The 16,007-nt window shown below is 37.6% G+C and overlaps 1 long non-coding RNA gene across 1 annotated transcript; it reads right to left on the reverse strand.

Moving 5' to 3' along the window:
- Positions 1–572: 572 nt before the first annotated feature.
- On the reverse strand, positions 573–6,768 carry LINC01217 (long intergenic non-protein coding RNA 1217). Its single transcript, NR_046812.1, has 3 exons — positions 6,512–6,768; positions 4,913–5,023; positions 573–2,766 (listed from the first exon to the last, which is right to left on the reverse strand). It is a non-coding gene; the product is annotated as a long intergenic non-protein coding RNA 1217 (long non-coding RNA).
- Between the last annotated feature and the right edge of the window lie 9,239 nt (positions 6,769–16,007).

Here is a 16,007-nt window from a genome sequence, read left to right on the forward strand (position 1 = left end):
AAAGACTCCATCTCAAAAAAAAAAAAAAAAATCTGCATTCTTTGAAACTACAATTTCACTTTTAGAAATTTTCCCTAAAGACAAACTGGCTCTAGGATTAATGATGTATGAACCAAAATGCACATCTCAGCAGAGTCTCTAAGAACAAAAGACCAGACACTACTTAAATGCCCATCAATAGAACAGTGACTTAACACATTTAATTAATTATATGCAATAGAATAAAATTAGTTATCAAGTCTAACATATTCATTTATTGAATAAATTCAAATATTTATTGTGTAATTATTATATGCCAGGCACTGTACTGGGCGTTAATAATGAGTGCAGTGAAAAAAACAGTTGAAAATATTTACTCTCATGTAATTAACATTCTAGTTGGGGGTCAGAGACAATAAACAAATAAAAAATGGTAGTTAGTTCTGGTTTTTCTTTTAAGCAGGTAAGAGAGATAGAGAGCATGAAGTGTTGAAATGCTGTATTTAAAATGAGAAGAGGTTTTCAGTACCAATATAGAATAATTCCTAATGTATATTATGTGAGAAAAGGAAGGTATTTAACAGTATGTAAAACATACAAATGCACACCCACAAGACTATTTGCTTATATAAAATATCTCCGAAAGAAACTAATAAACTGATAACATTGGTTATCTCCACAGAGGAATACTGGGTGAACAGGGGCAGGAGGGAAAATTTCATTTTATGCTTTTAAAATTTTGTATCATGTAAATGTATTTATTTTAAAAAGCAAATTGATACAAAAACAAATTTAAATTTCCATATACTTCTAATGTCCTAATTTCAGAAAAGTCACGTAACATCTTTGGAATATATGAATGGTTTACGGTTTTGGGTAAATACTTCTGATTATAAATATCTTAATAATATGAAAAAAATTATTCACACTTCTTCTACAAGTTTGTTCTGCAGAATGACTTGATGTAGTTAGTCCCCATTCCAAAAGCCATAAGAATGCGGTCAAAGGGCAGGGATAAGGGTGTTTTGAGTAATTGTTTTACAAGGCCTTTGCTGAACACTTGTAGTGACTTGAGTTAGCACTGTCATTGGCACTTCAAAGATATATTCAACATTTTGATGGGTCCAGCCCAATCATATAATGCATTTCAGGATTTGTGGAATTGACAAGTAGTATGAAGGTGCGTTCTTAAGAGCTGCAATGGGGCAGGCACATGCCTCTCACAAACTAAAGATGAGGAAACAGAAAATTCCATCGACATTCCCACAGATATTGTGGGCTGAGAAAAGTAAGACTCCTTTGGCTTAAGAAAGAGTTTTCACTAAAATTAAACAGTATCTGCATTTTGTTCGTTTTGTTTCTTTCCCTTTCCTTCTGAAAGTAATATTCCACCTTTAATCTGTTCCTTCCATTCTTGACTTTGTAGTCTTTCAAGGTCTTGAATGTGTAATAGACTCCTGGTGGGAATGAGATTAAGTTGTGAAATTCTGCTTTGTGTCACCAGTGAGATAGCTGGTGTCTTTTTCTTAGCCATTTAATACTCTACTACTCCTATGCTTCTGAATTCTTAACAAGCTCCTTTGCTGCTACTCAAGCAAAGCTCCTCATATGCTCTCAGACACAGAAAAGTATAACTCACGAGTAACTGATATGTGCTTAAACTTTCCAGCTTCTGAAGCTTCACGTATGGCTTTTCTGTTGGCTGTTTTATGATTGTGCAAACAGAATCACAAAACTAAAATCCAGAAGGAAGTTTATGTATCATTCAGTGCAAGTACTCAGGTGAGTGAACTAAGGTCTAGGAGAACTAGCTTGCTCAGGAATCCACAGTAAGGAGCTGAGCCAGGGCTAGAGCCAAATGTTACCTCCGGTCAGTTGCTTTCAGGAATAAATCAAGTCTCAAACTTGCCATGCATCTGCCAGCTCTCTTGCTTTCTTCTCACAGGAAACATAAGGTCCATGGCTATTTCTTTTGATCTCCTATGCCTAGAATTACCTCAATTCATAATTCTGGTCATTTAAGCCTCTGAGGATTAATCTTCTCCCTGATGTACTGGGAAGTGTATAATCAAAAACAATACCACCATTTCCTGTGGTTCTAGCAGGGGAAAAAGTTGGCTTGATTTATGCTTTACCAGACATTAGCCATGATTCCCAGTCATTGCTGAGGGGGTAGGGAGGGAGTAACTTCATTGCAACATGTTAAAATTAGCAGGGCATCCAAGACATAATAAACTTCTTTGTGCCTATGAAATTTTTACCACAGTGACAGCTAGATATGATTTTAGGTTTCCCAGAAGAAGACAATAAGACAAGAGTTTGTGTGCAAGTGATTCAGTACAGTTGGAGTCAGTACAGTACAGTATAGGAGATGCCTGTGAATAGATGAGGGAAGCAAGGAAGGAAGGAGAAGACTAGCAAGGGTATAATTTCAGGTAAACTTTCAACCTCAGGTTCATCCTGATGGGGAGCCCTGGAACCTAAATTAAACCTCAGATTTGTTCCTCCTTGGGGCAAGGTTGCTGAGATTTTATAATCTGTGCCTGTCTGTCCTTGGTGAGGGCTATCCTTGAGGGCATGTTACCACCATGGATGCTGGCTGGCTGTGCATTGCAGGCACCATGGTGCCAGTGGCCCAAGGGCAGTCCTTCAAAGAGACTTAGAGATGCCAGTCTCTAGGAGCCAAGCATGTTGAAGCCAGAGGATGGGCACACAGAAAGAGTCAGAAGAATCTGAGGAGAATTGCTGGAGTACTGATAGCTTCTGCTTCAAATGTTGCTATATTACCTGTCCAAAATAGAATGGACAAAAATATGACCAATTACTGAAGCCTGTTATTAAAAACCAGGTCTTTGCTTTCTATTTAAAACAATGACTCAGCACCACCATATCTATATTTTTTTCTAAAATGAATACGTATATTTCTAGAATATACATATATACAAGCATACACACTCATAAATATATACATATATGCACACACTAGGGTTACATATATTTGTTTAAATGTATTCATATAAATAAAAACATTACTCTTACAATCATAATATTTCATGCCTCTAAAAATGTTCCTTAGGGATTTATTTTTCTCCCTTTAAGTCTCACCAACTCATTTAAGATCCTGATGACTTTACTAGAACATGTTGGAACCATTATTTTATATATCTTTCAATTTACAAAACAATAAACAGACCAGACGACCAGTTTTTTCCTTTATCGGGCAAGTAGCAGTCAAGGTTTGTTTGCATCTGTCTATTCTTTGGTATGTAGTTAAAATGCTTTCTCTCCTCAAAAGAAAAATTAAAGTTAAACAAAAGGGCAGGTTTTTATCAAATATTTACACATTGGAAGATTAAAGAGTTAGAGAGATCTTCACTTCTTAGTGACCCAATCACCATATTTTGCTTGTTTAATGTTGCCTACATTGTCACTCAGGATTATCAATAATGAGAATAGAATACGTTTAAGAGCAATAGGTCCTTTGTGGACCTGTTTACTTATTTCTAATGTAAAATTTCTGAACTTTAGGATATATAAATAAATATCAAAAGCAAAACACCATGTGAAAATCATACATTTACTTGGGCCATAGACACATGGATTAAATAAAAATTTTTTAATAAAAAATTCTTTTTTAGTAAAAGAATTATTTTGTCTGGCCTAAAAATCACATGAACCCAATATGAAAATATTCATATATATTGCTCAAAAGCTCTCAAAAGTTGGCAGTTATGTCTATTTGGTTAAGAGATCAATATATGCAAACAAACAGTTATTAAATAATTAACTTTATTTAGTTAGACCAATTATCTCAAAACATAAGCCCTATGAGTGCAACATAATAGAAGAGAGTCTGGCTAAAAAGGTTGAGAACATCTTCACCCATCTCCTCCCCATCTCCAGATCTCCAGGGTGGTTTAAATATCTAGGACTGGCCATTAAGTAATCAATAATCATGGCCTCTATATTTAATATTCAAGCAAAACCTCCTGTAGACTTATTCCAGTGCTGCTAGCCATTTCACACCTTAATATTTAGAGCTCCCACATACCCTTGTAAAGTACATGAATTGTGCAATGATGCCAGGCTGCGAGGGGGGAGTGGGGGCTGAAATCCACCCCTGCCCAGGAGCCAAGCTGTGGCCCACAGGGCTATACCTACACGGAGGGGGTGCCTTTTCCTAATTAGCAAATCACACCACAGAGACTAATGGCATTTCTGTTCATCTTGGTGACATAAACATATCTGACCAGATATTCTTCTCTGTGGGTCTAAAATGTTATCCTTCAGCCTAGAAAGAAAGACTCTCAACAACCTAGAAATCAAATTATGAACAACTAATTACGGCATTTTCAAAATATTCCAAACTTTGTTTCAAGATACCAAGAAAAAACTGTACATCTACACACACACACACACACACACACACACACACACACACACACATACACATAGACAAACATGCAGATACGTTTGTGTATAGGTGAAAATAGCTAGAGAACAGATTCAGATACAGGAAAACATATTTTCTTATATGGGTCAGGTAACTGATTTCAACAGCCACATTCCAGGACAAGACATTTTGTCATATAAAATGGGAGTATTCACAGGGTCAGAGAAAACACAGCCTTTTCAGATTCTGTAATTTCCTTAATCCACTCAATACACAACTAGGATCCAATGCTGGCTTTTATGACCTAAACAAAATTATCCCTGTAGGTTCCAAAATTAACCTAACTCTTTCACCAAGTATTTATGACTAGCGTATTATATTCATTAAACCCAAATGTCACAATGTATTTTTTATAAATAATCTAATCTTTAAAATATCCAAGCTGCCCTTCCATGTCCTCAGGGAGCTTGTACAGTTTCCATAGTTATAACATGTGGACAAGACAAGACTGACTGTCAAGTGGTATACCTTTTCATTTACCATTTTCTAATTTATTTCCACTGCTTCATTTATTAGATTCTGTTCCAAAACTGAAAAATATTACACGTAGAAAATTGTCCCCATTTTTTAATCCAAACTTGGCTTTTCTTCCTTGATAGAAAAAAAAAAAAGCAGTTTTAGTCAATTGATAATTACACTATCGGCTAATGGAGAACTGTCAAAAGTTTAACTCTTTCTTTTCTGAGCAGTGATCTTACTGTCATCCAAATAACAGCCAGTCATGTAATCTTTCCATTTCTCTTGCCCTTCCCATAGCCTGCTCAAACACAAAGACACACACACACACACTTGCACACTCACACAGAGGGGCTAGAGAGAAAATCTACTTCTCCATTAGATATACTCATCCATCTATTGCTCTTGCAAAGACAGGACCCAGGTTTATAAAAGTGTTAATTATTAGAGGAAGATGTAGATAAAGAATATGATGATACTGTGAAGAAATAATCTGGAACCATCTGAAAATTCTGAAAAGAAAATATTATAGGAAAGGAAAATAACTAGTGAGTAATTAACATCACTTACTATGCCTTGCACTGGGCTACTTCTTACAGTAAATACAAAAATAATATAGTCACATCCCTAGGCATCATGCAGCTTGCCATCTGCTTAGGGAAATAATGTAATAGCACCTGAAATTATTAGAGAATATGTTAGTACTACTAAAAGTCAAAACAGAATTCAGACATTCAATGGTTTGCAGTGGTCAGGAAAATTTTTATGAATGTGAAGGGGCTTGAACTGGGTCTTCACATGAGTAATATTTAGATGAGGGGAAGATTGGAGAAAGCATTCAGAGCAAAGGATAAAGCAGAAGCCATCCTGGGGAGAAAGAGTTGAAGAAAACATGTGGGGCAGGATGGGGAAGTCGAGGGAGAAGACTAAAGCAACAGAAATAGAGAACATTCTAGAATATAATTTTGCACTTTTCAGGTAGATGCTGAGCTGTATGACTGCCTGCTTATTCGTCTCACAGTTGAAATTAGAGTATCCTCATTTAAAACTACAAATTTACATATTTTCCCAACTGTTCTTTGATGGAACGGTCCACCTCCAGGGCAGTCAGCTATTGACAATTGCTCAGAGAGGTAAGTAGGGAAAAAAATATTTAAATAATTCAGTACGCATTTCAAAGTAGAATTTTTCAAAAACGCAGAAGCTATTTTAAAAACATAAACACAAAGCATGTCATTCTTCCTTCCTCCCTCAAAGGACAATGGTCGTGCTGTGTAAGAACAGAAACAAGTATATCTAGCATACTGACTGTGGAGGCCGCAAACACCGCTAGTTCTCCTGAGAATTAGAAGCCCCGAGCCTGAGCTACGTGGTATCTGTGAAGCACAAGTCAAATCATTAGATTTACATATGAAAAGTTGTATGCCTTTCACCTCTGAGGCATATCAGAGATAGACTCAATTTCCTGGTTCTAAAGGCCGACTTCAAGGTGCCTATTACAGGCAGAGACCCACCCTTTACCCTGTGAAAGTACAAATTCCATTTCTGTCTCCGCAGCTCAGTAATAGTCCCTCTGCCCCCTCCAAAAGCATGCAACAAAGGAGTAATTCCCACTGTGTGTACCTTTCTGGAGCTGATGCAGGGACAAGGTGACATTTGCTCTGTTTTAGTCCTCACGTTACTGACAATGACTCCTGTATCTTGCGTGGGCTTGAATAAAGCCACTGCATGTGAAACGTTGATGCTAATGATGACTGTGGAGACTCCTGTCATTTACTCTCTAGTCCTCTGACATTTCTGTTTCCACTTTGATTTCTTTTGGCTCACACTGTAAGCTAGATTTTCTTCATGGCACCCTGCTTGGCAGGAGAATCTTGTCTGACCTGGAAATAGTGACATTGTGTTCTGGAAAAACCTCTGCAGGGAGTTGAATCAAAGGAAGAAATAAATGCAATTCTCTGCAAAACCTGTCTGTTGTCACCAGGGATGCTCCCTGCAGGGACCTTTCAGTAGAAGGGATCCCAAGCAGATGAGTGCTGTGCTGCACAGTGTTTATGCATGTCACCTATTGGTGTGCACAAAACACACAATCCAACATTTGACACAGCTACATTCCAGTTCCAGATTACATGTGAAATCTGACAAACTCATAACCTGATTAGAATAAACTGTACCCACCTCTGCTGTTTTTACAATTACAGTCATGTGTCACTTAATGATGTGGATTCATTCTGAGAATGCATCATTAAGTGTTATTAGTACATTGTAGTCTGTACTTACACAAACCTAGATGGTATAGCCTACGGTAACACACCTAAGCTATATGGTATAGCCTATTGCTCCTAGGCTAGAAACCTGTACAGAATGTTACTGTACTGAATACTGTAGGTGACTGTAAACAATGACAAGTATTTGTGTTTCTAAATACAAGGTACAGTAAAAATATAGTATTGTAATCTTATAGGACCACCATGTGTAATGGTCATCATTGACCAATGTGTCATTATATTGGCACATTACGGTACCTAAATTTCAATAATGTCTTTCATTTCTTTTCCTTTGAAGGGGAATGATTTTTTAATATGCTGGTTTTATGGTGGTTTTTAGAAATGGTGCCTGAATTATGAACAAAGTGGTATGAAAGAGGTATGTAAAATTGTTGTATAAACTCCATGGGAAGGGGAGAGAACTGGTTGTGTTTGGCAGTGAAAGGGTACTGGAAGACAGGAGAAGAGAGAGGCCAGAATATTTCTTCCCTGACTCCTCCCTGTTTTGAGGCTGTACCTCTGGCAGTAGTTCCATCCCTCCATACACGTCTCTGACTAGAGCCCGCCTGGTGAAGCCTCTGCCAGAATCTCAGCACTCCTGGGGATCTAATGACTCTGTTTCCTCACCTCCTCCTTCAAATCTAGGGTTGGCAAAAGCCTCCCACTATGCTAGTTCCTGAGCACCTCATCATCATTTGTTTGCTCAAAATTCTGAAAGTAGTCCCCTCATTGCAGCCTCTTTATTTGAACCATCTAAATAAAATTCTGTACCCTGCCAGGAGCTTAACTGATAGGCCATCAGAGAGTGTTAGAACTTGGAGGCATCTTAGAGACTGGAGTGCAGTAGCCTCATTTTAAAAACAAGGGAACCAAGTTTCTGAGAAGTAAAGTGACTCACCCAAGGTCTCACAACCAGCAACTAAATGAGTTGAAATAGATATGAATTTCAGGTCTTCTGACTCTTGGCTTGGCTCTCATTATTCCACAGTGCCAGATAAGTTCCTGTGTTGTTGGCTTGTAAAAAGGGAGAATAAACTTAAGTATGTCAATCACATTCCAATGCAAATTTTATGTGTAAATTAATTTTTATGTATTGATATGTACAGAGAAGGACTTTGATCTGTATATTAAGTAGATAGATGGCAACTTAAGACACAGAGCAAAGGGTTTTGTTGTGTAATTTTTGTTGTGCTAATGTTACATTTCAGCATTCTTATTTCTTTACTCCAAATATAACACTTTTTTAAATGGCTCAGATACCTAAATTATCACATATTCTAATTTCATACAAGTGTAATAAAATGTTTTAAAATTTATTCATGTGCCATTTGAATAAAAATTAAAGGGTGGAGGAAGTATTCTTCTTCAAATGGACTCAAACGTGATGAGAGCAAGTCTGAAGGCCTGAGTTCCAGCCCCAGGCCCATCGCTGACTCAATAGCTTCTTTCTCTGGGTATCAGTGTACACATCCTAAACAAAATTTATTTGAAGCATTAAAATAAGTTTATCTAAAGAGATTAATTTTTATGTTCTTTTCCATCTCCACTATTCAGTAATTCTATGAAAGAGAAAATTGACTCAAGAACCCCTTCTCAAGGACTGCCATCAATAAAATATTGAAAAAATTTCAAATAAAATTTTTGTCTTGCCTTTCACATTATTTTTATCTATTTAATTTTATAAGTACAAGTAAATAAAGAAAATGTAATACTATTTCTTTATCAGTGCTGGAATTCATGGAAAATATAATGTCAAAAAATAGAATTCTGGTATCTCTTTGCTATGCTATATAATTGTGGAACAGTTGCTCTTAATGTTTTTTGGTCATTGACTACTCTCAGGGACTTTTATGGGTTGTCTACAATTTCAGGGGTCCACAAAATAAGTCTTCCATGTACTCACCATCAAAAATTCCTTTTTACTAGCATGCAAATAATGATACATTTTATAATCACATTCCCATTTTCTACTTTGCCCCAGTGGTCCTTTCTTGTAACTGTGAAATACTTAACACAGACTTTAGTGTGACAATAGGGGTTTTGTCCCAGGTTTTTTACCACCTACCTGAGTGAGCTCGACAAGTTACTCAATTCCTTGTGTCTCGGCTTCCTTATCTTTGAAATAGAGCAAACATTCTGTTATTATGAGGTAAAATTAGGTAATATATGGAAAACTGCTCCAAGTACAGTAAAGTACTTCTCTAAGTTGGTTACTATTTTTCCAGTACATAACATAATACCTGACCAAGTAGGTGCTCAATAAATATTTGAAAAATGAATACAGTAGGTAAATAAAATGGTGACCATTTCCCTTCAAATTCTCTGTTGAGATTTAGATTGTTACCATGAGAGTTTATGTTTACTGACCTAGGTCTTCAACTTGAAAGTATTGCTCATTATCTTAGTTACCTCTGTGTTAAAAAGCATTATGTTAAAAGATGTTAAAGGCTGTATTATACTACAAAGCAATAAAAAAAAAACTATTGAAAGCTATAGCGTGAATCCTTTGGGTCAACAATGAAGAATAACATTTTGTTATTCATAACAATTTGTTGTTATGAAAGTGCCTCACAGAAATAGAAGTAACAGCTTTCTTTCCTTTCTTCTCTTCCCTAGAGAAGCTCACAGTTTAGTAAATGCGTCAGTTGAATCATGCTAACTTCTACCGTGGTAAAAACTAATTCTTAAAATCTCAGTCTCCTAAAGTAACTGAAGTTTATTTCTCACTCATGATCTACGTTTCTTACATGTCTCTTAAGACCTCTGTTTTTTGTAATTAATCATGGGCCAGGCTGATAAAACAGGTATCATCTCAAACATTTCTAGCTGCTGTCCCAGGGAGGTATAGTTCTGGAGGGTTTCATATAAGCAATCAGATGTTCCTGCCCAGAAGTAGCATACATCTCATCTGCTCACAGCTGTTCAGAACTAGTCACACAGCCAACTACAGTGGCCTAGGAAGTGCAATTCTACCATATCCCCAGAATGCAGAGCACCAGAAATACATGGCAAGCTGCACTAAGGACCACCGTAGTAGGGGTATTATTGTTTTAGATGATCTCAGTTTACACTTAACTCATTCATCCATTGAGAAATAGTGATCCAAACCAAGCAAGATCTTCCCTGTGTTTTTTTTTTCTTTTTCTTTTCTTTTTTTTTTTTTTCCTGTAGAGAAAGAGAAGCAGGAGATTGAGGAGAGAAACAGGAAAAATGGAGAATAGAGGAGAAGAGAGATATAAAAGAGAAAAGTCAGGCAGAAAAGCAGGGAAGTAGGAAAAGAGCAAATCAAAGAAAATATAATTATTCCAGAATATTTGTAATCCAATGAAAGGATGTTGGTAGCTACAGCATTTTAGAGACCCCCAACTTCTCTTAGAAATTTTCAGAATCACTAGAGTTCTTAGGAGAGCTTTTCTGTTTTCTGTTTCCTAATCAAATAATTGTAGAAGAAGTTAATATATGAACATTTATTTTCAAAATGGTTTCACTGACATCATCCTGCAAGATTATTATATTATGCCCATTTTATAAACACCAAACCTAAGGCCCTGAGGAGTTCAATGAAAAGCTGTCCCACTGGTGAATGATTCAGTGGTTAGGTGGGTTATGTAGTGGAGGAGTATCATGTTCAAAGGGGAAAGGGTTAGAGTGAAGAGAGCTAAAGGGGAGAGAATATGGACCCAAGAAAAGAATGCAGGAATGAGAAAACCTTAACTCCTAAGCTAGTCTTACAATGTGGCAGAGGAGTTTTTGTTTGTGACTTTCTCTGGCCTCTTTTGGGCATGACCTCTTGCACTTTGGATGACATTTGAGATTATTTTAAAGCCATAACAATAATCAGAGAGAGTGGTCAAAAAATGGTAATGTGTGAATTAAATTTTCCCAGAACTTGTTCAGAACACAGGGCACAGGAAAACACATTTTGACAGAGCCACCTGTGCCAACTCCCTGCTGATGAGCCCTGGGAGACGAGGTTTTGCAGAAGGACTTCAACCTGCAGGCTTGGTCACTGCCAAGAACAGCAGATGGCACTTGCTGGACATAGTTGCCTGTTAGCCTGGGGGGCCTACCTGTATAGCCTGACAGTATACACTAAGTTCAGCTATTCTGGACAGGCCCAGGAAGCCCCCCAAAGGAGGAAAATGTTATATTAGGTTCAGTATAGTTTTCCCAGTGCATAGAAGGTACGTAATCTCCTGATATATGTTTTTTGAATCTGTATTCTATTTTTATACATCTACTTTTCTTACAAAGGGGTATATTGTAATGTTACCCTGCAATATTCACATTTTTAAGGTATTGAAGGACAACTATTATTTTGAAGGTGAGATTTCAAATTTTTCCTGGGAAGAAGTTTTTGGCAACTGGTCCCTTGACAAACATCCAAAGAGCCAATTACTGCACATAATTTTAAAAGCTGAAAAACTAATGATGATTTTATGGGTTCATTAACCTCATAGCATTGTTGATGTGTTCTCACAGAACTCTGGAAGGGGGTGGAGAGGTTGGAAAAAGTGTTCCTGTGAGTATCCCACTGGGAAAATCTCTATATACATTTCTCCTTGGATTGTGTTAATAACTCAGCCCAGGGCAGAGCCCAAAACTGCTGGCGCAGCACATGGAAGGAGTTCCTGCTCTATCTCTCCTCTTGAGCCCAACCCATCTCTACTTCTGCTGACAGCCCTGCTTCAGGTTGGCAAAGCCTCTATGTGGCTGTCAGAGAATCATACTTTTCCCACCCCTCAGGGGCACCACCCACAGGACTGCCATCTGCTGCTGGGTCCAGGAAAGGTTCTCTGCCTGTAACTCTGGAGCACAAATTCTCTGAAGATGCTATGGCCAAATTTTCATGGAGCATATCGACTTGGGGACAAGGTTTTAGAAACTCTCTGCTCACCTCCCAGCAGTGTGTACCAGAAAAGGAGCAGATGAGTGGGCATGTAAAATGTCACTGTTATGTTCTGGCTAATTTCCTCATACTCATGAGACATTAAAGAGTAGAGAGCCACAATAATGTGTGATGACTTATAAGGGCCTGGAGCTCAAAGTAGAAGCACATATTTAAATTGGTGCCAGCTATATGTATGTATGTGTATATATATACACATACATATATATACACACATATATGTAAAGATGGTGAGATATACTAGGGCATTGCTACTCAAGTGTGGCCCTGGAACCAGCAGCAAGAGCATTACCTGACAGCTTGTTGGAAATGCGGAATGTGAAGTCTTAGTCCAGATTTACGGAATCAGAAACTATATTTTAGAACATCCCTAGGTGATTTATAGATACATGAAAGTTTGAGAAGCAAACTGAGACACATTTATATCTTTTGGAATATATAGGACAATTGAAAGAACAAAGAATTTGAAATCAAAAGATGGGTTCAAGTGCTTGGTGAGGGTGATGGTATAAACATAGTTACAGATAAGTTCCCCAGGTGAGGGAGAGAAAGGAAAGCAAAACAGGAGCAGCCAAAACAGGGTCTTGGGCATCTTTCTGCTATTCTTAGAGTCAGTACTCCCATGGTGGCAGAAATTATATTTTCTCAAAATTTACTACTGTGGTCCCAATTTAAGTTAATTTAATTTATTTAGCAAACACTTATATAGCACTTACTATATGCCAGAAGAGCTCTCAGCACTTTACAAATATTAATTCACATAATCCCCATAACAAGCTTAGGGGGCAAGCATAACTAGCGTGACCTCTGGCCACACAGTCAGGAAGGAACAAAGCTAGGATTCAAACCATGGAAGTCTGGTTAATGCTGGGTCTTAAAGAGTAAGGTCAATTGCTTCATAAATGGCAGAGGTAATTGAAACCTGACCCTAGGCATTCTAAATGTGACTTTTGTTGGAAACCCTTTGTTGTATCATGTTGTTATATTTGCCATTAAAAGTAATGGCAAAAACATAATTACTTTTGCACTAATATTTATATTTCAAAATTGGTACCACTTTTGCTGTCTATTTCATCATATATTAATGCATATTATAACATAAAAATGATTCTTTTATTTACCTTTTATTGGCCAAAACTGATGTTTTCAGCCTCTGGCTTCACATAACTATTATAGTGTGGGTAAGCCTACATGAGAAGCACAGACTTAAAACTTTCCCAAGGACCATCTACAGCCAACAACAGCCACAGAGACAAGCCCTGGGCCAAGAACATAATGCCCTGAAGGTTCTCCTAGGCTGAAGGAAAGATGGCCAAACCACAACTTCCATTGGAAATCATAGTTAAGTTAGATAACGTAATCATAGATAAGAAATCATAGTTAAATAATATATGCAATCTGGTGGGGTTGTTCCTAACTTGGGGAAGCTTGTAAAATACATTCTTGGTTGACATATTGTTCTTATTCATAAAATGAACTGTTACTTTATGCCTAGAGTATTCTTGCAAATCCTGCTTACCATTTTCTTTTCTGTCTCTCGCTTTTTTTTTTTTTTTTTTTTTTTTTTGAGATGGAGCCTCATTCTGTCACCCAGCCTGGAGTGCAGTGGCACAATCTCGGCTCACTACAACCTCCACCTCCCGTGTTCAAGCGATTCTCATGCCTCAGCCTCCTAAGCAGCTGCTGGGATTACAGGCATGTGTCACCACACCCGGGTAATTTTTCCATTTTTAGTAGAGATGAGGTTTCACCATGTTGGCCAGGCTGGTCTCAAACTCCTGACCTCAGGTGATCCACCCATCTCAGCCCCCCAAAGTGCTGGGATTACAGGTGTGAGCCACCGCACCTGGCCCTGCTTACCATTTTCAAAGACAAAAAATAAGTTTGCACATTATGATCTACCCATTTGGATAACAATTTAATCATCATCAATCCAGTTACTATCAAACATTCAAATATTTAATGTGAACCTCAGATATACACAAAAACCAAATAAGGGCCATTGTCAAAGATTTCAGAAGATCTTATGGAACATTTTTCTTCTGAAGTAGAAAAATATACACAATTCTCCATGTCTTTTCTTGTAAATACGGTCTCATGAAACAGTTTGGTTTGCTGATATGTAGTTCAATTGTAAGCACTAAGCACAGCTGACTGTATTAAACTTTCTTAGTCAATATCAGAAAAAAAAATGCAGAACAGGAAGGTGCTACAAGAAAAGCAAGACTGCTGTTTAGTTTCATTTTTTACAGTTTGAATCATTTGGCTTTATAAATATTAGAGTAAAATCAGAATCTCACCCATCTGTAAAGTATAGCCTGCACCAGAGTGAAGGTGCTGGATGTGTAAGTAGGCCCGAGGACAAAAGAAAAGGAAAATCACCTTCTTTCATCAGGGCAAACTGAGCAACTTTAGCCTGGTGGTGAAGCACATGGGCTCAGGGTTCAACCAGCCTGACTGGGTGACTGATTTTCCCACATAGTAGTTGTGGCTTCTTAGGGTTGTTTGAAGATTTAACAAGAACTGTGTATAAACCATTAAGCACAACCCCTGTTTGCCTGGATTTACAATATGGTACTCCCCATTTTCCAGCCTCTCAAATATACAATCCCATAACAAAAGATTTATTAATCCACAGTCATGAGGTTCACTGAGAAGCCAACTTGATAAAGGGAAGCCTCAGTTAACAATTTTGTGCCACATAACATGGGTTTAAAACGTTCATGGAGAGATTGCAGTAAGGAAATTTGGACACTGACTAGGAATACTTGATAATTATCCCCTTTTTTTTTTTATTTTTAAAAAGTTCTCTTTATTTGTAATTATATCCCCTTATCTTCTTTCTTCAACTAACTTACAAAGTAGATTGGTACAGATTACCAGATACTTTTCAATGTTGTTTTTTTTTTTATCCCCTTTTTGAGCCAACAAATATTTACTGAGTACCAAGTTAATACCAACTCACTACTGTCTGTAGAGGGTACAAGGAGTCATGACTCCTGATTTCTAAGACCTAACATCCTCGGGAAAATAAAGCACTTAAAAAAAAATCTGTGATTCAGACTTTGTATGCCAATTGCTAGAGGTATATACTATGAAAGTTTCAAAGAAGGTGAGATTTCATTCAACAAAGCCAGTGGGAACAGCTTCAAAGGGAGACAGAACTGAGCTGGGCTGGGCTTCCCAATGAAGGAAATCTAGGCCTCTCACAGGGCCCCACCAGACTGCTCTGGGTTTGGCTGCTAGCTCTCTGACGTCATACAGAATCATGTTCCCTGAATTCACTCTGCTCCTCCTCTCTGTCCTTCTTTCTGTGTCTTCAACCTACCAAGTGTGCTCTGCCTCAGAACCTCTGCAATTGCTGCCACTCTTCCCGGAATGTTTTGACCCACATTGTTTAATTGAGAGCTCCTTTTAATTATATCTCAGGCTAAATGTCTGTTCAATTCTCTCTTCTCTTTCTCTAACATTCAGCTTTCTCTGCCTTCCCATAGTTTCTACTCGTCATGAAACTGTCCGGCATGTGGTTGGATTTGGTTTGAGGTCGTTCCAGTGGCTTGACATGGTCCTCACACTCCAATCACAAATTGACATAGTTTCCATGTTTCTTGGCTTCGATTCTCAAAATAGGCTTTCTATTTGACATTAGACCAGGTGTGCTTCCCTGGCCTGGTTGTTTGAGGTCATGAGGTTGGGGTTGGTTTAATAGATTCTTAAAGAGCCTATACGGAGGGAAGGTGATAAATCTTTCTCAATACTGTTGTCTACTGTGGTATTTTCCTGACACCATTGTTATTTCATTAATTCTATTAGTTTTAAGTTTGTTGCTTTAGGTTTCTAAATATCCAAATGCATCATCTAAAATAATAATCATTTTGTTTTCTTTATGCTTCAGTTTCTTAATTAACAAATTTGAGGATAAATGACAATACTATGCTCTTAG

This window comes from Homo sapiens, chromosome 4 (genome assembly GCF_000001405.40).
Source record: "Homo sapiens chromosome 4, GRCh38.p14 Primary Assembly".
Lineage (NCBI taxonomy): Eukaryota > Metazoa > Chordata > Mammalia > Primates > Hominidae > Homo > Homo sapiens.